This window comes from Homo sapiens, chromosome 2 (assembly GCF_000001405.40).
Source record: "Homo sapiens chromosome 2, GRCh38.p14 Primary Assembly".
In the NCBI taxonomy this organism is placed as follows: Eukaryota; Metazoa; Chordata; class Mammalia; order Primates; family Hominidae; genus Homo; species Homo sapiens.
Genome location: NC_000002.12, coordinates 2,784,390 through 2,810,296, shown reverse-complemented (window position 1 = coordinate 2,810,296; position 25,907 = coordinate 2,784,390). Strand labels below are relative to the sequence as shown.

Sequence of the window (25,907 nt, the reverse complement as noted above, 5' to 3'; positions counted from 1 at the left end):
ACCTGGGACAGGTAAATTTCACTATCTGTGAAAGCAGCAGTATCCAAATCTTCCATTAGACCAAGATGGTTCAGTTAGATGAGCTGAAGAATTACTAAAACAGACTTCAGTTCTTCATTGGGGTGTGCAGCTCCATTTCTGATGTTTACATTAGTCAAAGCATTGGAAAGAAAGATGTTTCATGTGAAGATTAGACACACCCTGAGGTCCTGGATGTAGTCTCTCGAAGACCACCTGAGGAAGGGAGCACGGCTCTTTGGCATCTTCCCGGGGATGGCTGAGGCCAGTGGGGTTGCATGGGGAGGCTGGTGGCCCAGTGGGAAGGACAATTTAGCTGCCAGGGCTGCTGGCAGGAGTGGGCAGTCCCCGGGGTATGTGGCTGGGAGTTGAAGGCTGCCCTTCAAGCCACTGCAGCAGCAGTGAATTTCGGCATGGACGTTTGGCCGGGCATTTTCCAGCATCCCTTGTAACCTTGAAATGTGTACAGACAGAACCCCTTGAAATTCTGCTCTAAATCAAATGCATGGTATTCCTAGTTCCCTTGGTTATCTCTGAGGGCAGGGTCAAGAGAATACAGGTCTCTCCATTCACAGTTTTTCAAAGGTTAAGTAGTTAATAACATTGTTTAGGTCTCTCATCCTCAAATTTATCAAAACCATTGAAAACAGAAGTTTATCTTATTTTTTTTTATTTTTGGGCTGTATAATCTGTGTGAGTGTTGCGTGCTAAAATGGGAATATGAGGTGAGCTGGGATTTATCGATCATTTCTAGGTCTTAGAGACCATGGAACATCTTTGTCATTCTGATCATTTTGAGATCTTGGAGGACAGAGATAGTGTATGTCTGTCTTTATATCCCCAACTCCTAATAGAGGATCTGTCATTAGGGGTTATCAGTAAATATTTCTTCAATATTGGCTGAAGCAATTATTACTATAACTGAGGTTCTGCATTTTACAGATGTCTCTAAAAGCTCAGAGAATTTGAATAAGCACCTTTCACAGGGCCACAATGCCTGTGTATGAAAGGACTTGGATCTGAACCCAGAAATGTTTAATCCTAGGTTATATTTTCACTACATCGTGCTGTTCTAGGTATAATTGGAACCTGGTTTTGTTTGTCCTGAAACAGTCTCTTTTGGGTTTCCAAGACACTTTGGCATTCCTGTGTCTCTGTGGTCCTGGTAGTTTAGTCAACTTGAACACATTCCCTCTCACTCTGTCTGCAGAGTAATCTTGAGACCCTCACGTAAGGAATGGATTCCATCTATTTAATTCTGTTCACTTTAGCAATTGAGCACCGTATGGACAGGGATCCAGCACGGCCCAGCTGTGTTCTCTGGATCAGGGTCCCATAGGCTGCAGTTGGGGTGCAGCCATCTCAGGGACCCTCTAGAGGTGTCCTTGCCTTTTTGTGGCTTAATCTTAGAAGTGCCATGCAGCCACTTTTGTTGTGTTCCATGTGTTAGAGAAGAGTCCCGAGGCCCAGGCTGCGGTCCAGGCGAGGGGATTCTGCAGGATGTGAATGCCAGCAACGTGCAGCAGCCCCAAGCCCCTGCTCCATGCCAGGCCCTGTGCTGGCAGCCATGGCTACAAAGATGAGCAGGGCCTGTGTCCAGCCTCAAGGAATTTAGTGATATTTATTATCAGGAGCAGACAGAGCAACACATAACTTTGGGTACAGTATTTATTATAACTTCAATACTAAAGATATTTTAAAAGTCTCATACTAGCTAGGAGAAAGAATGACTCAACTCTGTTGCCAAAGAGTGGGAAAGAGAAGCCGGGGAAGCTTCCTGGAGGAGGTGAAATATGAACTGACGTTTGAAAAATAAGTAACCTAGTCCCAGTCCCGGAAGGAGGCTGCTGGCATCAAACTGTGCACAGAATCAACTCAGCTGACAGCTCCAGAGTTTATGGTCTCCTTTCCTTCAAGGAAATGCCTGCATTTCTCATCAAAATGCCCCAGAGAAATGGCTGGGGGTCGGCTGGGGATGGATTGTCTGGGGATGGGCACACCGAGTGCCGCGGCTCTGCTCCAGTAGTGATATTCGTGTGGAAAATAAACAAGAGCATCGTGTCAGCACCACACCCCAGTCAGCCTGTGTCCTCCTCCTGCCAAAATAGCCTGGAAATATCACATTTTGAAAAAGCGAAGGAAATTATGTTAATCATATTCCTAAGAGCACTCAAGCAAAAGGGCTGTTTATTGAAAATATTGACATGATGGAAAAAAAAGCCGCTAGAGTGATCATTCCTCCGGGATTTTCTGGGGTGTCACCGAGGGAGTTTGAAGAGTCTCCCATTTGACATTGGGGTATGTTGATAGATTGAGGACTCCAGTAGCATCTGGCTGGGACAAGAGGTGAAGGGCATGCAGTGAGGCCTTGATTCGCAGCCTTTGGAAGGAAAACACCCTCACAAGGCCGGTTAGCATACCCGTGGGCTGATGGGTGTTTCCCTGGACCCAGGGTGTGGGTGAGCAGCGGCACAAATTGTGAAGGAAGGGGCGACTCAGTTACCTGGCGGTGGGCAGTCAGAAGGGTGGGCTTTAAGGGTTCATAGGATAAGTTGGGGGGCACTTCAGCCTCCACTGTTTGTCCCCTGGACTTCCCAACTCCAGCCCCGACTCCCAGCGCCTTACATTGCAAGTGCGTACAGGCACGGCCATCTCCCAGGCTTGCTCTCCGGGGCAGAGTTTGCCTAATTTTATCTCTAATTATCTGAGTTTAGAAGGGTGCCTGGCACAGAGTTGTTCCTCTGAAACTTTTGGTTGGGCAGAGAATCTGCAACCTTTCCAACTCTAGAAAAGGGAGAAGAATGGGAATAGTTCAGAATGAAGGTGTCTTCCCATACCCTCCCTCTGCAGGATCACTGCTGTCTCAGCAGTTGAGGGCACAGCTTTGAGGACTGGCTCTAGGATAGGATGGTTGGGGTTTGAATCCCAAACCAGCCACTTTCCAGATTTTTGATCCTAGGCAAGTGCGTTCATTGAGCTTGGACTTGGGTTTCTCATGTGTGGAGAAATGGAGAAAACAGAACACACATAACATGGCTGTCAGGGTTCCTGGTGCTGCACGTAGAGCTTAGATGAGTGGTGAGCACAGAGAAGTTCTCAATGATGGTCAGCTGGCATCACAGAGCTGAACATACTGCCCAGTGCATAAATTAACCTTCCCTCGGCTCGGAATAATCTTAAGAAAAGCCAACTCTAGTTGATGTCAGTGTGAACGAGGTTCCCCAGGGGCAGCAAATACTGGGCTGGACCTGGAATGGCTCCAGGAGGCCTGGGCCTGGCCTTCCAGCTGCACTGCCCTCAAGTCCTACCTCTCTTGGTGCCTGCATGGTCCCTCTCGGGAGCCTGGCTCTCTCTGGTGCTCTGCGTGCAATGGCAGGAGAAGGCTTTCCCCCACCCCGAAGGCTCTAGGCCCCTGTAAAAGCCACGTTAGAGACAGAGAGTCTGATGTGCTCGCTCTTGGGTCAGTTGCATCCTGCTCAGGTCCAGAGAGCAAGGCTGGGGCCGTGAGTCCCCAGAACAGAAATCCATGGAGAGGCATCCCTCCACAAGGGGAAGAGCAGCTCTTGTGAACAGGTCACCTTGTGAGCCAGGTCCACACCCCACACAAAGTGCGCTAACGACATTCACTGTGACTCCAACCACAACCCTCGTCACCTACACTATTCCCATGTTGAGTGAGGGAAACTGGGACTCAGAAAAGCATATTATTATTTTGAGATGTTGATGTCATGGGTAATTTGTGTTTTCTTCTTTATACTTTTTTCTTCATTTCCTGACTTTTCTGCCATGGGAAACATGGCTTTTATAAAAATAGGACTTTATCAAGGCACTTCTGCAGATCTAGCTTCCTTCTGTGACACCTCCTTGAGGAGTTTCAGGAGCTGATGCTTTGGAGACACCAACACCAGACCCGTAACCTTCACAGGTCCTGTGGGAGGTACCGGGGGGTGGCCCGGCCGTGTGCGGAGGGGTGGGGGCCTGTTGCCACCATCAGGCTCCATCTCGGCTGCAGCACCCAGCTGAGGCATCTGTATGGGAAAGGCATTAAGACTTGTTTAAAAATACTCCATTCCAACCCATGAAATGACCGGTATTCACATTTGGTTAAAAATAGCTTCTTTATTAAAAAAGAACTTCAAAAGATCTCTGAAACTTTTAAGAAATATGTGAAAGGAAGACACCTGCAAAAGCGGTTAATTATATACTTCCGCAAAGCTGTCGGGACATGTTTATTATTTTGTTTTTGGAATTAGATGTTAAATTATCGATTGAGAACAATGGCGCTTAACAAAACCGTCAGGAAAGAAGTCAGCACAAATTGAGAGAGAAGAACTTTTTTAAAAGAGACGATTGTGCAGAAGAGAGAGGTGACAATACCCCTGGGGTCCTGGGACTGGGTCTGGGCAAGTGTTGTTGGAGGGTTTCTGGGAGAGGATGTGACTTGATTGTGGGATATCAGTGTTGTCTGTGGCCTCGGTGTCTCTGGCTCTAACCTCATCTCTTGGATAGGAACTCTGTTCCATACAAAATTTCCCCTGTACATTTTGTTTTATTTTTATTTTTGGAGTTCCCAGGAGTGTCTCAGCTGAGATAAAAGGTCTTCCAGGAAACACATGTTGGCAACTGTCTCCTTTCCCACCTCCTCTGACCCTGCGGTGTCAGCCCTACCCTCAGGAGCACCCTCCAGTTATCCTGGTTACTCCCAGACATCTGCACCTTTCCTGGCCACACCTGCTCCTTCTCCTTGATTCTACTGGACCCGCCAGGCACCTGCCCGCTGAGTGCTGCTGCAGGGCTGGCTGGTGCCTGCTGATGCTAGGGGCTCTGTGCTACGAGAACAGGGGTGCTTGGGGATGACCTCGGGGCAGGGGCTTTCATCTAGATCTTACAGAGATGTTAGCAGCATCACTTTTTGTAATTGTTGCTGATATTTTCTCTTCCCACCATAGGACTCATATTTTGGTTGGTGAGCCTCTGTCCCTGGAGATCAGTTTAAGCAACAGCATCATATAAGGTGTCTGCCCAAGCTCCCTCTTCCCCTAGCATGAATCCTCATTCTCCCCCAGGAGGCTGCTCAGCCCTTCATGCAGATAGAGTTAGTCAGGCCCACCCTGCCTGGTCACTAAACATGCCCAGGTGTGTCTAAATCCCAGGGGCCAAAGTGACTTCCATGCACCCTGGCACTGCATGGTGTGCGTGTGGTCTCTGACCATGGGGTCGACATGAGTCCGGGTATGGCCTGCTCTTCTGTGAGCCACGTGTAGCATTCAAACCCAAGGTCAACTAGAGCTTCATGGAGCAACGGCTCTGTGGTTTCCTCATGTTTATATCTTCTATCTCAACCTTATTCTCACGAGAGCGTCTATATTTTTTATCTTGGGGGAAACAGGATTCTGAGTGATTAATAAGTCATCGCATTTATAGACTGAGGAGCAAATCCCGTGACATGGACAGATCATAAGGCTCAGAGGACGACACGCCGGGTGCACCGTCAGCACAGCATCCATCTCAGCCAGCGGCCCTGCCGGCTTCCCAGTTTCCGCAACCGAAGGTGCGGTATCCCCCTCGGTTCCATGCCTACCCCATCAAGGCTGCAGTAGAGCCCACTGTGGCCCCACCTCCAGATTCCTTGAGTGCACCCAACTCCTTTCTGCTTCCAGTCTCAGCCTCATCAACTCTGGATCAGTCCTTGCCCCAGCCGCTGCTGTAGTCTTAGAAGTCTTTCTGCTTCTATGTGTCACAGTGATCCTGTAATACCATAAAGGAGATCGTGTCCCATCTCTCCCTAAAATTAAAAAATGGTGAGATTGAAGAAAGGATGCAGGGCTGGCAGAGTCTGGATCCTACCCACCAGTGCCCTGCGTATGTTCTCCAGGACACACAGTCATCTGTATCTTTCCCCTTGTGTGTGCATGGGACTCTCCACTGCTCTGGATCACGGATGAGCTCTTAAACCTGCGTTGTCTGGCTCCCCCGACTCAAGTCTCTTTCACCCCCACCAGCCTGTTTGCTTCGCCTCCTCAGGGTGCCAAGCTGTTTCCCAAGTGTCCCCAGCTTTCTCTCAGCTTTCACCTTTGCCTCTGTTGCTCCTTCCTGGGATTTTCTTTTACCAGTTAGTCGCAGGACTATTTCATTATTTATTATCTTTATGCCTCAGCACCAGTGTCACTCCCCAGAGATGTCACCTCCCTGAGCCCACATCACCCCCGTGGCCTTCCCTGACCACGTTATTCTCGACTATCTCAGCTGCCTGCCCTTCCCCTCTCCCCCTTCCCCTCTGTCTTACAAATTACAAGCTCACAACTTGATGTAGCTTGAGGCAAATGGGGATTCACTGGCTGCTGTGATTGGGGAGTTGGAGTGGACTGTACCAAAGATGGCCGGGTACTGAGACTCAAGTGTGGCCCTAGGAAGCTCCCTTCCCCATGTCCCAGAAGTCCCCTTGCACTGGCGTATATTTCCTTCTCCTTGGGCTTCCATATTCCCTGAGACACAGCAATATTTAACTCAGGCCCATTACAACCCTGTAATGGCCTCTAGGTGTTCAAGTGAAAGGAAGAGTTTCACATTTCTCACTTTAAATCAGAAATTAGGAATGATTGAGCTTAGTGAGAAAGTCATGTCAAAAGCTGAGATAGGCTGAAAGCCAGGCCTCTTATACCAAAGAGTTGATCAGCTTGTGAATGCAAAGGAAAAGTTCTTGAAGGAATTAAAAGTGCTAGTCCAGTGAATACATAAATGATAAAAAAAAAAGTGAAACAGCCTTATTGCTGTTATTGAGAAAGTTTGAGTGGTCTGGATAGAAGGTCAAAACAGCCACAACATTCCTTTAAGCTAAAACCTAATCCAGAGCAAGGCCTCTAATTCTTTTCAATTCTATGAAGGCTGAGAGAGGTGAGGAAGCTGCATAAGAAAAGTATGAAACTGGCAGTGGTTTGTTCATGAGGTTTAAGGAAAGAAACCATCTCTATAACATAGAAGTTCAAGGTGAAGCAGCAAGTGGTGATGAGAAGCTGCAGCAACTTATCCACAAGATCCAGCTAAGATCATTGATTAAGGTGGCTACACTAAACAACAGATTTTCCATGCAGATGAAACAGCCTTCTATTGGAAGAAGATGCCATCTAGGACTTTCAGAGCTAGAGAGGAAACTCAATGCCTGTCTTCAAAGCATCAAAGGACAGGCTGACCCTCTTGTTAAAGGCTAAGGCAGCTGGTGACTTTAAGTCAAGGCCAGTGCTCATCAACCATTATGAAAATCGTAGGACCCTTAAGAATTATGCTAATTCTACTTTACCTGTGCACTATAAATAGAATAACAATTCCTGGGTGTCAGCACGTCTGTTTACAGCATGGTTTACTGAATATTTTAAGCCCACTGTTGAGACCTACTGCTCAGAAAACAAAAGATTCTCTTCAAAATATTACTGCTCATTGACAATACATCTAGTCACTCAAGAGCTCTGATGGGGATATACAAGGAGATGAATATTGCTTTCATTACTGCTAACACAACATCCATTCTACTGCCCATGGATCAAGGAGTATTTTTGACTTTCAAGTCTTATTTAAGAAATATATTTCATAAGGCATTAGTTGCCACAGATACTGATTCCTCTGATGGATCTGGGCAAAGTCAATTGAAAACCTTCTGGAAAAAATGTATCATTTTAGATGGCATTAAGAACATTTGTGATTCATGGAAGGAAGGAGGTCAAAATATCAACATGAGCAAGAGTTTGGAAGAAGTTGATTCCAGTCCTCCTGGATGATTTTGAAGAGTTCAAAACTCCAGTGGAGGAAATCACTGCAGATGTGGTAGGGATAGAAAGAGAATTAGATTAGAAGAGAAGAGTGAAGATGGGACTGAGTTGCTGCAGTCTCATGATAAAACCTGAATGGATGAGAAGTTGCTTCTTATGAATGGGCAAAGCAAGTGGTTTCTTGAGATGGAATCTACTGCTGTTAAAGATGCTGTGAACATTGTTACATTGCAACAAAGGATTTAGAATATTCCATAAACTTAGTTGATAAAACTGTGACAGGGTTTGAGAGTACTGACTCCAATTTTGAAAGAAATTTTACTGTGGGTAAAATGCTATCAAACAGCATCACTGTTACAGATAAATCTCTTGGGAAAGGAAGACTCAGTCGATGTAACAAACTTAATTGTCTTATTTTCAGACATTGCCACAGCCACCCCATCCTTCAGCAACCACCACCCTGATCCATCAGCAGTCATAAGCATTGAGGCAAAACCCTCCACCAGCAAAAAGATGATGACTTGTTGAAGGCTCAGATGATTGTTAGTATTTTTTTAGCAATGACATATTTTCTACTTAAGTACATTTTTTAGACATAATGCTATTACACACTTAATAGACTTCAATGTATTGTAAACATAACTTTTATATGCACTGGGAAATCAAAATTTTTGTGACTCACTTCATGTTGATATTCGGGATTGACTGAACCTGCAATGCCTCTGAGGTCTGCCTGTACCGGCATTCACGTGCACTTGGGCTTGCTGTTGGGCTGCCAGCCAATATCAACCAAGCTCTTCTCCACTTCCAGTTGGTTCTCTCTGTCCTTATCATGTAGAACAGTGCTAAACACAGAAGATGCTAGTCCTTAATTAAATGAGTAAGGAAATGAATTAAATCTGGAGCTTTTCATCTCACTGCTTTCTGTAGCAGTGCCACCATGTGTTGTAGAGCTCCCACAATTATTTATTGAAAGTCTCCATTTTACCACTGGCAAAATACTAGTATCAATTTACCTGTCTCATAAGGCTGTTTGAATGTTCATCAATTTTTTCTCCACATCATGAAAATGTTTCATTTGCCACTCGTATTAATCTGTTCTCACACTGCGAATAAAGACATACCTGAAACTGGGCAATTTATGAAGAAAAAGAGGTTTGATGGACTCACAGTTCCACATGGCTGGGGAGGCCTCACAATCATGGTGGAAGGCAAAGGAGGAGAAAGGCACATCTTACATGGCGGCATGCTAGACAGGGTTTGTGCAGGGAAACTCCCCATTATAAAATCATCAGATCCCATGAGACTTATTTACTATCATGAGAACAGCATGGGAAAGACTTGCCCTCATGATTCAGTTACCTCTCACTGGGTCCCTCTCATGACGTGGGAATTATGAGAGCTAACATTTGAGATTTGGGTGGGGACACAGCCAAACCATATCACCACCTGTGATTAAAGGAGGACTTCTGTCTCTCCTGTTGGGCTGAGCAACAGGCAGAGATTTCTGGCTGTTCACTCCAATTCATGATTTCTTCTTCTAGGACCCACAACTAAACAGTGTTCCAGCCTCCTATGCAATGAGGTGGGACTGTGTGGCTTCGTGCTGGCTCATGGAAAATGCACACATGCACCATGGGCCACATCTGGGAATGTCCCATCCTGTCCCCCACCCTCCCGCTGAACTGAGACAGGCCCTGGACCACATCCGAAGCCCCTTGTTGAAGGTAGCAGATTTTCCTCAGCCTGAGTTCTGGAGGGGCTGTGCCCTACTGGCCTGTTGAGCCTCCAGGTTCTGTTACATGGGTGAGGAAAATCCATCCACTGTGCTTGAGCCATTATCCTTCTGGTGATTTATTTGTTAAAACAACAAGCATGCCTTCCCTACATCATACAGTAAATTCGCCAAGTATTTGTTGTTATCCCTGTATTACGCTGTAGTCATTTTTACTTGATTTTTATATAATGTCTATAAGAACCTGACTGGCTGAATTTACTGTTTCCTTATATCTTTCCTTTGTACTGTGTAGCTCTTCCTCTTGGTGCGGAATAGATAAAGTGGCTTTTCCCTGATCACAGTGACCTTTCCTGCCACATCACAGTGAGGGGAGCCACACAAGGACTCAGCTGGACCTCAGAAGAGTCACTCTCTGTCAGCAAAGAACACCATGTCGTTCATCACTCTCTTCCTTCTCCCCTTCCTCCCTCCCTCCATCCCTCCTTCTCTCCTTCCCTTCCTTCTTTCTTTCCTTCCTTCCTTCCTCCCTCCCTTCCCTTCCCTTCCTTTCCCTTCCCTTCCTTTCCCTTCCTCCTTCCCTTCCCTTCCTCCTTCCCTTCCTCTTTCCCTTCCTCCATCCCTTCCTCCTTCCTTCCCCCTTCCCTCCTTCTGCTGTTCCTACCTTTCTCTTTTTCCCTTCTTCTCTCCTTCATTCTCTCCCTCCTTTCTCCCTCCCTACTTTCCTTCCAACTTCACTGAGTGCCTAATGGATGTGAGATAGGGCATCAGACCTTGTAGAAGCAGAGATAAAGCACTGTATTGGAGCATAGGAAAATACCACATTCATAGGTTTAAAGAATGGTCACATATTGACAGTTTAATATCATTCATCTTCAAATGAGTTTGTGTATTGATATTACCTCTGGCTTTTAATTTTCTTACCTTTTTCTTCACTTAAATTTACTCAGAGAATTCTCAGCTGTGAGGAGACCTGCAAGTCACCTTAAATAATTGTGGGATGAGGAGGACATATATAATTAATACAATGCATAGCTGTTGTCCTCAAGTAACTCATAGTGTTCTGCTGGGAGAAATAGCAAGTGAGACTAAGAACCTCCACAGCAGGCAGTAAGGCAGGTGCAGAGGGCACCGTGAACACAGAGAAAGGACTCCTAGCCCAGGATTTGGGGTTTGCACGTGGGTTTTTGAGATTTGGATCTGGGGTTTCTCCTCCATGGGGAAACCTACTTGGGCTTTGCTTGTCTCCTGTTGGGACAGCCACTCATTAGGCCCGCTTTGTCCCTGTTGCCGAGGCAATGACCAGTAGCCACCTGCCCTGTCACATGTGTGACTGGCATAATAACTGACTGAGGTGCCTACCTGGGGCCCAGTCTCAGCCTCAGTCTAACTGCACTTCTCCCCTGCACAGAACCCTCTGTCCTGCAGCCTGGCCTGGCCGGTGCTGGGCGCTGGAGATGGGCACGAACAATCCTCCTGTCCACCACCACCGTGTTCATGGTGATGGCCATGACTGCCAGCCATTTGCAATAAAAGAGGACTTGGTGTGAACACGAATGTCACAACCATGATGTGAAAGTGGCCACCTTGTCCAGTTAAGTAGTTCCTGTCTTCATGCCGTGATGCCAACAGGTTGCTGAAGGAGACCCCACGGAAACCCCAACCTTATGATTTCTGGTAAAGATAAAGTGACAAAATGGTCACACTCTCATGTATATTTGTCAATAGTGCTTAGAGGCCAAATGAATGAACAGAAATGCAGAAACGTGCATCAATGGCTGTTTCTAGATGCTAACTGGGAATATGACGATACCATGTAGGATGTCTCTCCATTTGCTTGTGTGTATAGATCTATACTGCTGGCATGCATAGATGTGAAACATTACACAATATTCCAGCCCATTTCCAGATGCTGAAGTCTCTGTGATGATTCTGTTATCAAACAGCATCATACTTCAAAAACTAGCACCTTATTCTTTGAAGCTCACGCTCTGCATTTTCCAACACAATTAATTGGAATAACAGCATAAAGATGATGACTTTTTTTAAGTGGTAAGTGTTAATATGATAATTGAACTCACTCATTAAGAATGTTCAGGGACTGGAGTTTCAGTTCCTTGTCCCTGGGAAAGATGGAAAAGGGGATGTGAGGGGCCTGGTGTCCTTGTTATTCAGTCACATGGGGATGGCCAGGAGCCTGCCCCCCATGGTACATGGTGCAAAGATCTGTGTGGGTTCCTGCCCTGTGGCTGGGATGGCCAGGTGTCTCCTTTGGCTGCCTGTGTACTAGCAGACCTAAAAGAGACAAGCCCATGGCTACATCCAGGTATCCTGAATTATTCCTGTGAATGGAAATGAACGGTGTGGTAAACTTAGACAGGGTCAGCTTTTCCACTAAGGGGCTAGATCGTAAATATTCTAGGCTTGTGCAGCACATGGTCCATTTTAGTTGCTCAAGTCTTCATGAAAACTGCAATCGACAACAAGTAAATGAATGAGAAAACTGTCTTCCAATAAAACTTTATTTATATGAATAGATGGGGTTGCAGTTTCCTGACTCCTGATCTAAAGGAGTGGCTGATATTAATTGAGAACTTAGACTGTGTTGTAAATACGGCCCATGCATACATTTACTTAATGCTTTCACAATCCTCTGAGAAAATTCAGGCACAGGCATAGTTAAGTAAACTGCCCAGGGTTTTCAGCTAGTTAGTGGTAGAACTAGTGCTGGAACCTGGGCGTGATGCTTCTGTCATCTGCACTCTCTGAGATGTGCCAGTGCATCTGAGCTGCTCGTTCTGACACAGGTGGTTTGGGGGAATCTCCTTCCAGTGCAGGACCTGGGAGGCCCCTTCATTTTTGCTGATGCCCTGGTTATGGACTGCTGGAGGGCTCAGGTTGCTATCGGTATGCAGAAGACCATTTTCTTCTTTGGGGCTCTAAAGCAACGGATATAGTCACTTTATTTCTGTAAGGAATGCTCCTCATTTGGCATGGGGAAGAGTATTGATAATTACTGTGTGAGCCAGAATGTTCCAGTCACAGCTACCCTACCTTTACTGAATCCTTAGTGCTCACCCACCTCTCCAGATGTCCCTAACCCCATTTTTTCAGGCAGGAAGCAGGCTCAGAGTGGTCAAATGATACTTCCCAAGTCGCGTTCTTCATGAGAGATGCAGGTAGACGGCCAGCCTGAAGCTCGGCTTCTCTGGGGTGAGAGTTTTCTCTGGGCTGCCTCTCTGCAGAGCATGCCCACTTGTTAAAACTGATCAGAGCTGGAGGGGAGTTTTAATTGTACATCACTGGTGTTCATGTTGACAATAGCTACTCACATCTTAAATCAATGACCTTGCTCATCTTTATGATGTTTATTTTTGCCAATATCATTCGGAAGTTGGTTACTTCCAGTGGAGTTATCCACTGCGACATCAGAAAGCATTGCCACGAATGCCACAGCTTGAAGATGAGTCACATCTCCATTTTGGATCTCATTCATTGACAGGAAAAATTTTTTAAAACTGGATAGGATGCTCTTGAGATTTTTTTTTCGAAACCTACTTAGCCTTAGAGATAATGCATTGAGCAAATGCAAAAAAGAAAAAAATATCTCTGACATTTGATCTCCTCAAAAGTGTCAAAGAGCGGGATGCTAAAAAATAACTCTCAACATAATTGTTCTTCTGGTCACATGTGATTTGAGCCAATTCTGTGAATGACAGATGCTGGTCACCACGCAAAAATGTGATTGCATCCTCCACAATGGATGAAGAACATGGCAGAAAAGAAAGCCCTGTGCATGGTTCAGGTGAGGTGAACCTGCAGGGCACAGCAAGGCTCCCGGGGGGACAGGCTCTGCCGTCAGGCAGCATGGTTCCACATCTCCTGGCACCATTAATGAGTGGAGATCTGCCCAGAGCTTCGTGGTGCAAACTAGGAGCTCATTTTGCCTCACAGCCAACCCCACATCAGTGTATCTGACACAGAGGGAAATTGCGGTACTGAGAAAAAATTGAGTCGCATGCATTCAAGCAGCCCTTAAATTCTCAGCCCAGGATTTGAGCCTAAGTGTTGGAACAGCAAATTTCTCACTTTTAACCCTGTCAGACCTGGCTACCGTCCATGTAAAATTGTCATCAATGTCAACGGAAGGTTGAAACCAGAGGACTGCAGTGAGCGGGAAGGTGAATCAGGAGCTGTGCGTGGGATTCCAGCTGTGGTTGTATTGTGTGTGTTCTCTGTGCAAGGGGGGTCTCGGCCAGGGGTGGGTGAGGCTGGTGCCCTTCCAGGCTCCCCTCAGCCACAGGCAGCAGGTGCCATGGGAGCCCTGCCGGCACCCCCTTCCTCCGCCAGGGTCCTGGTTCATCTGATGGCGCAGCTCCCCTCTAAGGTGTGCACCGGCGCAGACACTGTGCAGGAAGCCAGGCTGATGCAGACGGTTCTCAAGTCGGGAAACCACTCAGGTCCCTTTTGGGGCCCTCAAAATGGGAAAGGCCTCCAGGAACTTAGCAATCTCTTCTCCAGCGAGGCCCTGAAGCCCCACCCGTCCCTGCGCCTCCCCACCGTGGGGACACTCACCACCACTCCAGACACACAGCTGCATGGGGACAGCTGGAATTGTGGAAGAGCTTTGCCGTTTTTAATGAGCTATTGAACACAAATCTGCTTCCTTGACGTTCTCACTTAACTGCTATCTCACTTTCCTTGAAGCTTTCACAACTCGCTGATTCTAGATATTTTCTCCAGAGTGATACAAAATGCCAGCTCTCTCTCTGCTAGGGCTCCAAGGCAAGACAGATCAGCAGAGGGAGGGAGGGTGCAGTCGCTGCCTGAGGCCAGGGCACTGCCAGACCCGCCTGGTGGGAGGCTGCCCACGCGCACTCCCTGCTGACCCCACGCCAGCGTCCTCCTTAATGCGCTGAGTCTTTGGCTACTCTCGCGCGTACACTGATCAGTTTTAAATGTCTTCTGGTGCAGAGCCCACAGAAACAGAGCTTCCCTGAGCCCCTCTCCTTCAGACCCTACCAACTGGAGGAGCCAAGTGCTCCTGGGAGGCCACTGCGCTGCCCGGCTCCCCCCGCTCCCCACAGCAGGCCTCTGCTTTCGCTGTAGCCATTAAGTCCTCGAGAGGAAAAGAGGGAGTGCAGGAGCTGCCCACACCATCCCAGGGTGTCAGGAGCCGCCCGCACCATCCCGGGGTGTCAGGAGCCGCCCGCACCATCCCGGGGTGTCAGGAGCCGCCTGCACCATCCCGGGGTGTCAGGAGCCGCCCGCACCATCACGGGTTGTCAGGAGCTGCCCGCACCATCGTGGGGCATCAGGTGATGTAGGAGGACCTCTGGGTATCCTCCACGCACACCTGCACCACGGACTGTGTCTCCATTGCCCGTGGAAGAGGCTGTGATTCCATGGCTGGAGCCCTTGCCTGCCCAAGTGGGAGCGCTCATCAGATGGCTCCCATGTTAAATGGCATCTGGCATCTCCTGTGTGCCAGGAATGCAGCTAGCCCTATGCCAAAGTTAAGGGGGCAACTCCACAAACACTGCATGTCATTTCTGCACCAGGTGTGACAAGAGGGGTGAGACCAGGTACTGTGGGGCTCAAGGGAGAGGTCTAGGGAGGCAGAGATGCCTTCATGTGCTGGGAGGTGCAGATGGGCTCAGAAAAACCTCAGGACATGAGTCCTAGTGGCAGGTGGGAAGGGCACTTAGACGGGATCGCAAGGCAGCCCTTCCGGTCACTGAGGGAGCACAAGGCAGCCCTTCCGGTCACTCAAGGGAGGGCAAGGCAGCCCTCTGGTCACTCTAGGGAATCCAAGGCAGCCCTTCCAGCCACTCAAGAGAGTCCAAGGCAGCCCTTCCGGTCACTGAGGGAGTGCAAAACAGCCATTCATGTCACTCGAGGGAGTGCAAGGCAGCCCTTCTGGTCAGTCTAGGGAATCCAAGGCGCACTTCTAGTCAGTCTAGGGAATCCAAGGCAGCACTTCTGGTCATCTTGGGAGTCTAAGGCAGCTGTTCCTGTCACTCGAGGAGGCTCTGTTCTGTAAAGTCGCCACAAACACTGTATTAGTGAATTCTGAACCATTGCTCTCAGGGGAAATACAGGAAGTTTATCAGTCAGCATTCTCCAGAGAAGCAGAAACAAAGGGGTGTGTGTGTGTGTGTGTGTGTGTGTGTGTGTGTGTGTACAGACAGTGAGAGATTTTAAGAAATTGGCTTATGTGATTATGGGGGCTGGCAAGTCCAAAGTGCCCAGGGTGGGCTGGTGGAAGAGCTGGTGCTTTGGTTCAGGGCAGAGAGCATCTGCAGGGAAACCCCCAGCTCCGGGGCCTCTGTCCTTGTTCTTTTAGGCCTTCAGCAGCCTGGATGAGGCCCACGCATGGCAGGGAGGGGTCTGCTTTTACTCAGAGTCTGCTGACTTAAATGTTAATTGCATCCGGGAACACCCTCAAAGAAACACTCAGAGTCATGTTTGACCAAATATCTGGGTGCCGTGGCTCAGCCAACTTGACACAGAAAATTAACCCTCACAGTTAGATTCCTGCAAGATTCTGGTCACAACAATTTCATCAATGACCAGCACCTGGCATCGTGTGATGTGTGTTTCTGTGTAAAGACACCTACATAATACGTGTTCTTCACTCATCAGTGGGGCAGCCCTGGCCGGCAGCACCGTGTCTCATGCCTGCACATGGTTTCTCTAACCATATTTTCTGCATGAGGCACGTCATGGCTCATGGCCTCTTGCCCTCAGGATCCCTAGACAGCACTAGAGACCACACCTGGGGGCCATTTTAAACTGTGAAATCACCCACAGAAATGCGAAAGAAACACAACATTAACTGTACCTCGAAAAGAACCCTTGTTTACAGTCTGAGAGCTGAAGTAAGGATGAGCGCAGAAACTGTGCCTCGGGCGACTCAAGTATTAATCCTGCTCTGTTCGCGTCCACAGATGGCTGCAAGTGCACCTCATGTGGAGGCTACAAGTGGATTTTAGCAAGTAGGTAGATTCGTAGGAACAAAATCTGCCGATCACGGGGATGGCTGTGTATGAGGTGTGCTTCAGTGAGCGGCCAGGAGTTGGTCCTAGTGACAAGAACCGAGGCCTTCAAGCCGGGGAGAGGCGCAAAGCCAGGGGGCTTCCACGGTGAGCCTGGCTGGGAATCTGCCGTATTTATGAAAGAAAATGGGAAGTTACTGAAGAGTGTTTAAAGCGAGCGGTGATCAGATTTGCACTCTGGATGAGTGGCAGTGACACAGCGGGACTGAGGGAGGAGATGCTGGAGCTGGGAGCTGTCCGAGGGCTGTCATGGTTTTGCAGGCAGGAGGTGGTGCCGTTCTAAGCACAGCAGCCATGGGAGGACGGATAGAGGTCGCAGGTGCTACGGGTGCCAGGAGGGCAGCAGGAACACGGCTGAGCGAGGACAGGGAGGAGGAAAGGTTTTTGTGTGCCTTCCAGGTTTTTGAGTGCATTCCCTGAAACAAGCTCTGTCTTCCACCTTCCAACCATTGTTCCCCATGCCCGAGGCAACAGCCATGTTTCCCTCCTCCTCCCAGACTTCTCTGGGCACCCCCTGATCCCTGACGCTCCCCCCTGTGGAGGGTGGCCTGCATCCTCCTGCCTGAGTGGCTGCTGATCCCTGAGGCTCTCCCCCATGGAGGGTGGCCTGCATCCTCCTGCCTGAGTGGGTGCTGATCCGTGAGGCTCTCCCCCATGGAGGGTGGCCTGCATCCTTCGGCCTGAGTGGCTGCTGATCCCTGAGGCTCTTCCCCATGGAGGGTGGCCTGCATCCTTCGGCCTGAGTGGCTGCTGATCCCTGAGGCTCTTCCCCATGGAGGGTGGCCTGCATCCTCCTGCCTGAGTGGCTGCTGATCCCTGAGGCTCTTCCCCATGGAGGGTGGCCTGCATCCTTCGGCCTGAGTGGCTGCTGATCCCTGAGGCTCTTCCCCATGGAGGGTGGCCTGCATCCTTCGGCCTGAGTGGCTGCTGATCCCTGAGGCTCTTCCCCATGGAGGGTGGCCTGCATCCTCCTGCCTGAGTGGGTGCTGATCCCTGAGGCTCTTCCCCATGGAGGGTGGCCTGCGTCCTCCTGTTGAGTGGATGCAGGTTTCCTTCCTCCGCCCCTGTCAGTTCCGCTCTCCATGTCCAGCCAGGCCCTATCCTTCCAGCCACTGTGCTCTTCCTTCCAGGCCAGCCACTCCTGCATTAGTAAATTAGATTCCTCTGCATGGAATATGAGGATGCTCAGCCCCGTTTCTGCCCCAGCTCCTCAAGCAGGGGCAGGGAGGATGGAGGTCCTGGGAGAAGCCTCCCTTCCAGGGACTCGGCATGAGGAGAGGTCTCCAGGGGCATCCTGGCAACTGTGTCCTGACCCGCTGCTCCCCTCTGGGTCCTGGACCCTGCGATATCTCAGAATGAATAACACCCAGGAGGGTGACGGGCATGGGAGGCTGTGCCCACCCCTGCTTCCTTTTTGTCATTGTCAGGCAGCACCCAGGGCAATGCCACCTTCACTACATTGGGTTCAGCTTGGAGTCTGCAGGCTTTTAGGATCCTGAGCCTAGCAGAGCCCCAGCCATGCTGGATACTGTAAGTAATGAATTATCCATGATTAATTACAATTAACCAGGTCTCTTTCTTCCCCAGGCACTCAATGTAAATATTTAGAAGGAATTCTGATCATACGCTCACTGTCCAAATTAATATTATTTCATTTAAAAATACAAGAGTGTTTCCATTCCAAATTGGCTGTTGTTTGGAGTCCAATCAGCACATCGTGTGTCAAAGCGTAACAGAGAAAGATGCTGCGTGGTGGCGTCTAACGTGGCTGGCCAGCCTCAGCGAGGCTGGTCACACCCTGGCCTCACGGGGTGTATCTGAGAGTCCGAGGCTGCTGGCCTCTGGAGCCCCCTCCCATACCACCTGTCCACTCCTGGGGATGGACTCAGGAGCCCCGCCGAGTGTGAGCCTGATGCTGAGGGTGTGTCCCCCCCCCTGTGTTCCTCACCTGGAGGGGGAGCGCTCTGCAAAGTGCAGCGGGATGACTAGGTCCTGCTGCTCACAGCCCTTGCAGGAGAAGGGAAGAGAAGAGTGGGGCAGACAGACTCGGCCACCTACACGGGGCCTGAGAATGGCGTCTCTGACTGCACCGTCTTCTGGAAGCATGAAGGGGCCAGTTGGTCTAATGGTCAGAGACAGGGCTCTCAGATGAATAGATCCTGGTCTTTGAGATGAGTTACTTATCTTGGATCCTGTTTGGTAAAACACATGAACTTAATTGTCAGCATTTACTCTCGCCGTTGCAAAGATGATTGCTTGCACCTAGGTCTGCAGTGTCCACACGGCTGCGCTTCTGGGAGGTTCCGCAGCCAGGGGCATTACTGCAAGTCAGTGAGCCACAGCATGCCTGCCCCTCGATGCGATGCCTTATGTCTGCTCTGCAGGCCTCCTCCGGATTCACTGCCTTATCCCAAACATGAGATCTCCCTGTGCCCTGCTCCATCGTGGTGACGCTCACACCTGGGAGCTGCCCAACACGGATCCAAACATGAGCTCTCCCTGTGCCCTGCTCCATCGTGGTGATGCTCACACCTGGAGCTGCCCAACACGGATCTAGCACCATTTGGGGTTTGTGCAGGTTCTGGCGCCTCTGCTCTGGACTGGGGTCAGTCCCGTGTGTGTTTTCCATGGGGGAGCACTGGACAAGAGGCTCAGCCACACCACTGCTGGGATGTGGTCTGGAGTGTATTCACTTCGGTCCCATCTGCCCAAGCACAGCCACTGCTGAGCTCAGGATCCCCGGTGCGGGGAAGTGTTCCTCTGTCATAGGCAGAGCAAGGCAGTGTGGAACTGGCTACGTGGTAATGCGGTCCACCCCTCCATCTCCTCTTAATCTTATCTTTTAGGTAGAAAATGTCAGAGACTTTAAGTGGTGTCCATGGCCATATAGAAAAACTTTGGGACTTTGTGAGTTTGGAGAAAATCTTCATGACTGTTGAGAGATGAGTGTTCTTCTGGTCGCCGTGACTCCAACAAACCACATGCTGACGACTCGATCTCATTTGGGTTTATGAAACACCAGGTTTGTGGGATGGGCTCGGCTCACGGTTGTGTGTTTCTTAGAGAAGCCCTGTGGGAGGCATGGCTCTTCCCTCACAGGCCTGAGCTGCAGGTACTTCCTGCTCATGGATCCTGCTGTGAACCTCAGATGGTGCATTTCAGTCCCCCGTAACACACAGGGCTTCTAACTAAGTTGTGTGGATCGTGACTTGCTTCTTAAATGCAAAGCCTCTTCCATCTGCATGGGGGCGTTAACATTTACTGAGCATCTATTGTGTGTCAGGCACCTGCTGGACCACAGGGCAGCCCCCAGAGAACAGGACAAGCTCCCTGTGCTCCAGGAGATGCATACATGTGGGTCACGTTATGTTGTGACTCATGGTGTGAGATGCAACATAGGAGAGCCGAGCTGCAGAATCCAGGAAGGGGGAAGGATGGGGCACTGTGCTGCCGGGTAGGGGCTGGGAGTCTTATCAGGAGATGATGTTCCAGCTGGTCTGGAAGCCTGAATCAGACAGGAAGCATAGAACATCTCTCAATGGCATGAGGCAGAGGTGGCTGCACCTGCAGGTACAGCCAGAAAGGCAGGGCTTGAGTGTTCCAGGTTCTGGGCAGAGCAAATCCTGCGGGCTGCTTTTGCCAGCAAAGTCTTCAGGAGCAGGCGAGTTTGGCTAGAAATTCATGGTCGGGTCATGCTTGGTCACAGTGAGAAGAGAGAGGAAAGACAGGGCTCTTCGAGGGAGCCCCAGGGGTGGCGGCTGGGCACCCACAGGGTGAAGAGGAGGCCTGCTGCGAGCATGTGGAGGAGAGGAGTTGGGGCTTAGAAGATGGTTCCTCTAGGCAAGGAGGAGCCTCTTTGTACCCAAACCCGGGAAAGGGAAAGGCTCCTGCCAGCTGTGCTCTGGGTGGAAATGATCCATGTCCTTCCCTGGGCCCATAAATGCCACAGAACAAATGCTTCCTCCTCTGGAAGCATGAGGAACCAGTGAGCCTCCTGAAAACCCATGCTCATGGTTCTTCCACACTGCACCTCTCTGGGTCATTTTCATTCCTCCCAAGTCGCTCTTAGGATACCTGTCCCAGTGCAGATCCCTTTCCCACCTGTGAGCACCAGCAGGAACTTGGCATAGTCTCGGTAACCCAGGCGCAAGGTCGTTATATTCAGACCAGAAGATCATTGTTTATTCTTTGCTTCCATGGGGGTGTGCTAGTTGTAGAACCTGGAACACTCAAGCCCTACCTTTCCGGCTGTACCTGCAGGTGCAGCCACCTCTGCCTCATGCCATTGAGAGATGTTCTATGCTTCCTGTCTGATTCAGGCTTCCAGACCAGCTGGAACATCACCTCCTGATAAGACTCCCAGCCCCTACCTTGCAGCACAGCACCCCATCGGGGTGAGCTAGTCCAAGAGCGTGACAATGTGGTGGCAGCCCGGAAACGAGTTGTTCGGTGAAAAGAGCATTTGTTTCCTATGGGGACCGTCAACAAGAAGCCTCGTGCATTTTCATGAGATTTGGGTTTCTGATGTGAGTTGTTTCCCAAGCACATTTTCTTTAGACATCTACAAATGTAAGGGCGTGTTCCTCATTAACTGGCCGGGGATCGACGAACTCTTCCAGAGGTGAAACTTTTAGTGAAATTCAGTTGAGTTCTCGTAATTCCAGAGGTCAGCTGTCATAAGGCCGTGAGTGCCTGCTGCGGGCCTGTCCTGATTCTCTGGTCAGGAATGAGATTTCTCATCCTCCTCTCAATTCAGGGTTGCGCTGGGCCTCTCAGCAGACCGTGGGAGTGCCCTGCCCTGCACCGTGTTGGTTCTGCCCTGAGTTTTCCTTTTCCTGTAGAGCACGAGCTCCTCCACACTCAGACGGCACTCAGGAGTCACTGTGCTTCCCGTGGAGTAGACGCTCAGTCACCACTTACAGGAATATCTTACAAGATCTTCCACTTTTCCATTTATTTCTGATCTAAAAAAAAAATGGGTGGAAAACTGGTTCATGGTGTAGTTGACAGAAAATATGCTATCTGTCATGTTCATATAGGCCATCCTCCAGTGATTTACGTTATAAGGTTCTATCACCTAAATAAGGTCACTCCTGTTGGGAGATTATGTGGGCAGTTCAGGTCAGCAGCGGGAGGCTGCTCCATAACCCTGGAGCTACCACAGGAGGATGAGAGGCTGATAAGTTACCCCCACAGGAAAGAGAGTTGCTCACTGGAACTCCCACAAATGGAATTTGGAAAACAGATTAAGGCACAGGTCATCATTTGGGGCCTCAGTGGGGACCTGTGAGCCACCTCCCTGTGGCTTCCTGCTTCACATGGAGACTCAGAAATCTGCCTGAGGGTGACAGCCTAGATGCTGATGCTGGCCTGCAAGTCTGAGTATTCTAGAGCCTCAGAGGCTGGGGCAATCGCCTTTCGTCTCAGATTACAAGCTTTGTCTTTCTAATTTAAAGGGTTAGGGTGGCAGCAGGAGGGCCTAGGCAGGCCTGTTCTCATTGCCACCTGCAGTGTGTCCCTAGGGCTCCCACTGGGGAATTAAGTGCTTGTGGAGTTTTTCTTTTCAGCCCTTGACAACTGCTCGGTAAGAGTCATGAGAGGAGAGATCTCACATTCACCCTGAGTGGACTTTTGATCCATTTTATTTTCAGCTTGGTCCTAGAGTCAGGCACACACCTTGGAGGCCTGTGTTCTTGTGTTCTGCACCTGAGGCGGCTGAGGAAAGCATATGGTTTCAAGGGCCCTTTGCATGCACTATTCAATTTGCTAAAGACTCTTAGGTTTTCAAAAACATCCTCTTAGAAAGGAAGTCTTCCCAGAACCTTGCTATTCTGTTTGAATTCTTTCTGCTGAGCATTCCCTGACTGTCAATTGATACTTATCAAACGTCCGGATGGCGCTGGCCTGGCCGAGCTGCCTGTCTCTTGCTGGAAGCCGGGCTCTGTGAGGGCGCTGCCACATCGTCTGGCACTGTGCCTGCCAGAGTGTGAGTTCCACAAATGGATGAAAGCTGAATGTGTCACACCAAAGAGAACTCCTTGCAGAGCCTGGCCGACCTCGCCGACTCAAGCCTCACCTCTGCCACATCCTGAATTCCGACTCTGCACAGGTCACCTAATTTAATCTCGGCTTCCTCATCTGCAAAACAGAGATCTTGGGCTGTGATAGGGATCAGCTTTGTGTCTCTGTAAATCCCGGTGGTGCATGGGGCCGGCCACGGGCCATCGTCAAGGCTGGCTCTTATCACTGTGACCAAGCTGTGCATCCTGGGACATCCTCCGTGTTCATGCTGAGCCGGGATTGGAACTCAGAGCTCATGTCTGCTGTGTACACCCACCATGCAGGCCCCCAAAGCACCCTCCTCATGAGGGGGCCTGCTTCTGCGGGATCCTGAAGTGAAACTGGGGTGCACAGAAGAATTTTGGTTGACTGCAATTCAATGAACATTCTGAGAAGCAGAATGTTTTGAAGGCCTAAGGGTTGCCAGTGAAAAAAAATGCATTTTTTGCTATTATTGAAAATTTTTATAAACTGCACATGACTACGGTAAACTGGCTCACATAAAGCAGTACTTGTCATCTGCTAGGCTGGATGTGATGGGCGCACTGTTGAATTTAGTCTTCATGGAATTTCTTCTTTTTATTTTTACAGGAAAACCAAGACCTGAAGAGGTTAAGTAACTTGTCTAATGTCATGTATGGTGGGTCCTAGAATTCAACCTAAATTTGTCTGATCCCTGAACTCTACCCTCTTACCTCACTCTCTATCTTATAGGCTGTTTAGGAAACACACGGAAACTACTGGCATTTTTATTTATTTATTTATTTATTTTGAGATGGAGCCTTGCTCTGTTGCCCAGGCTGGAGTGCAGTGGCATGATCTCGGCTCACTGCAGCCTCCTCCTCAGGCGTTCAAGCAATTCTCCTGCCTCAGCCTCCCAAGTAGCTGGAACTACAGATGCATGCCACCATGCCTGGCTAATTTTTATATTTTTAGTAGAGATGGGGTTTCGCCATGTTGGCCAGGCTGGTCTAGAACTGCTGACCTCAAGTGATCTGCCCTTCTTGGCCTCCCAAAGTGCTGGGATTACAGGCATGAGCCACTGCGCCCGGCCGTATTTTGTTTCTATATTTTTCTATTTAATTTATTGGAATTTAATTTTTGGTATGAAGTACAACTGTAATTTGGCTTTTTCCCATTTAGATATTCTCTCCATGCCATTTGCTGAATGAGTCCGTCTCCTCATGGTTTCATGGCTCTTTCCTCCCTGTCTTCTTAGCTGTTGAGTTCATCTGTCTCCTCATGGTTTCATGGCTCTTTCCTCCCTGTCTTCTTAGCTGTTGAGTTCATCTGTCTCCTCATGGTTTCATGGCTCTTTCCTCCCTGTCTTCTTAGCTGTTGAGTTCATCTGTCTCCTCATGGTTTCATGGCTCTTTCCTCCCTGTCTTCTTAGCTGTTGAGTTCCACTGCAATCCGTGCTTTCTTCCCCTTCCTGATGCCTCATTGCTTCTCATAGGAAGCTTCTCCTTAGTGGAGCCACGTCCTCCTTCTCATTCCAATCAAAGGTCTCTAGTGCAAGTCTTTGTGTAAAACATGATGAATCTAACCCACTTATGAAGCTTCAGCTCTGCCTCAATATCTCCACCCTATACTGCACTCGACTATTGAACTGTGATGTTTCAGGCACCGATGGTGATCTCATGGAAGAGGAGTGTCATCTCTGCGTGGGATGCACCACCCAGACACGGCCACCGAGCATCTGCGTGGGATGCACCACCCCAGAAAGGGCCACCGAGCATCTGCGTGGGATGCATCACCCCAGAAAGGGCCACTGAGCATCTGCATGGAATGCACCGCCCCAGAAAAGGCCACTGAGCGTCTGCATGGGATGCACCACCCAGACAGGGCCACCGAGTGAAGAGGAGTGTCATTTCTGCATGGGATGCACCACCCCAGACAGGACCACCGAGCACACACATTGGGCGGTTGCTCAGGGTCACCCACCGAGGGGCAGAATAGAGCCTGGAGCCGCTGTTTGCTCCCAGCCACAGACACCGGGCAATGCCGCCTCTCACACTGTCCTGAAAGTGGATGGGTGGCTGTCAGACTTCAGTGGATCTATCCTCCCACTCCCCGACATAAGCAAAACTTCCTCCCCTCCATGCTTCCTCAGCTCTAACAGTTCTCAGCATCCTCTCAGCTGTGCAAACTGAAAACTGCTTGTCATTCTCAGGTTAAAATGCATCCACCATTCCTGTGACACCTGCCGCCAATATTCTAGGTCATCGTCTCATCTTTTATCCATCTCCACAGCCACCCTTTGCCTAAACCACCATTGCCACTGTCTGACTGAGCCCTCTAGGGAGTGTCCACCGTCTGGCCGAGCCTTCCCCTGGACACTTCCTCTCTCTCTTCCTTCTCACTGTGTCTTGCCACAGCCCTTGTCCCTTAGTGCCTGGAAGCTGCTCAAAAGCACAAACCAGGCCATGTTGCTTTTCTGCTTAAAGCACTTGAAGGCTTTATTTTTACCTTAAATTAGACCTAAAGTTCTCTTCCTAACTTACAAAGCCCCAAGTCATTTTCTTGTTTCCTTTTTTTTATTTTTATATTTTTTCTTTTTTTAATTATACTTTAAGTTCTAGGGTACATGTGTACAATGTGCAGGTTAGTTACATATGTATACATGTGCCATGTTGGTGTGCTGCACCCATTAACCCATCATTTACAATAGGTATATCTCCTAATGCTATCCCCCCCCCTCCCCCCACCCCACAACAGGCCCCGGTGTGTGATGTTCCCCTTCCTGTGTCCATGTGTTCTCATTGTTCAATTCCCATCTATGAGTGGGAACATGCGGTGTTTGGTTTTTTGTCCTTGCGATAGTCTGCTGAGAATGATGGTTTCCAGCTTCATCCATGTCCCTACAAAGAACATGAACTCATCCTTTTATATGGCTGCATAGTATTCCATGGTGTATATGTGCCACATTTTCTTAATCCAGTCTATCATTGATGGACATTTGGGTTGGTTCCAAGTCTTTGCTACTGTGAATAATGCCACAATAAACATACGTGTGCATGTGTCTTTATAGCAGCATGATTTATAATCCTCTGGGTATATACCCAGTAATGGGATGGCTGGATCAAATGGTGTTTCTAGTTCTAGATCCTTGAGGAATCACCACACTGAACACCATGTACAGCCACAGACCCCTTCTGCCTGCTCCTGCCCCATTCCTGAGTCTGGGATGTGTGAGGTACCTTGGTGGAAGGCACAGAGGATTTAGAGAGAAGATGAGCACAACAATTGCATCCAAATATGATTTGTGACGTG

General features: G+C 49.2%; 1 long non-coding RNA gene across 2 annotated transcripts in view, besides 5 other annotated features; it reads left to right on the top strand.

Moving 5' to 3' along the window:
- The window catches only part of LOC105373390 (uncharacterized), a 133,531-nt gene that overhangs the window by 30,575 nt on the left and 77,049 nt on the right, over positions 1 to 25,907 (top strand). The window lies entirely within an intron of this gene.
- Positions 16,560 to 17,278: an enhancer, noted in NCBI's record as "H3K27ac-H3K4me1 hESC enhancer chr2:2796791-2797509 (GRCh37/hg19 assembly coordinates)". NCBI's record gives its function as "activates a minimal SCP1, AML or CMV promoter by ChIP-STARR-seq in naive H9 embryonic stem cells {active_cell/tissue: H9 hESC(naive)}" and the evidence as "EXISTENCE:reporter gene assay evidence [ECO:0000049][PMID:30033119]".
- Positions 17,279 to 17,998: an enhancer, noted in NCBI's record as "H3K27ac-H3K4me1 hESC enhancer chr2:2796071-2796790 (GRCh37/hg19 assembly coordinates)". NCBI's record gives its function as "activates a minimal SCP1, AML or CMV promoter by ChIP-STARR-seq in naive H9 embryonic stem cells {active_cell/tissue: H9 hESC(naive)}" and the evidence as "EXISTENCE:reporter gene assay evidence [ECO:0000049][PMID:30033119]".
- Positions 20,846 to 21,450: an enhancer, noted in NCBI's record as "NANOG-H3K27ac-H3K4me1 hESC enhancer chr2:2792619-2793223 (GRCh37/hg19 assembly coordinates)". NCBI's record gives its function as "activates a minimal SCP1, AML or CMV promoter by ChIP-STARR-seq in naive H9 embryonic stem cells {active_cell/tissue: H9 hESC(naive)}" and the evidence as "EXISTENCE:reporter gene assay evidence [ECO:0000049][PMID:30033119]".
- Positions 21,451 to 22,055: an enhancer, noted in NCBI's record as "OCT4-NANOG-H3K27ac-H3K4me1 hESC enhancer chr2:2792014-2792618 (GRCh37/hg19 assembly coordinates)". NCBI's record gives its function as "activates a minimal SCP1, AML or CMV promoter by ChIP-STARR-seq in naive H9 embryonic stem cells {active_cell/tissue: H9 hESC(naive)}" and the evidence as "EXISTENCE:reporter gene assay evidence [ECO:0000049][PMID:30033119]".
- Positions 22,056 to 22,660: an enhancer, noted in NCBI's record as "OCT4-NANOG-H3K27ac-H3K4me1 hESC enhancer chr2:2791409-2792013 (GRCh37/hg19 assembly coordinates)". NCBI's record gives its function as "activates a minimal SCP1, AML or CMV promoter by ChIP-STARR-seq in naive and primed H9 embryonic stem cells {active_cell/tissue: H9 hESC(naive and primed)}" and the evidence as "EXISTENCE:reporter gene assay evidence [ECO:0000049][PMID:30033119]".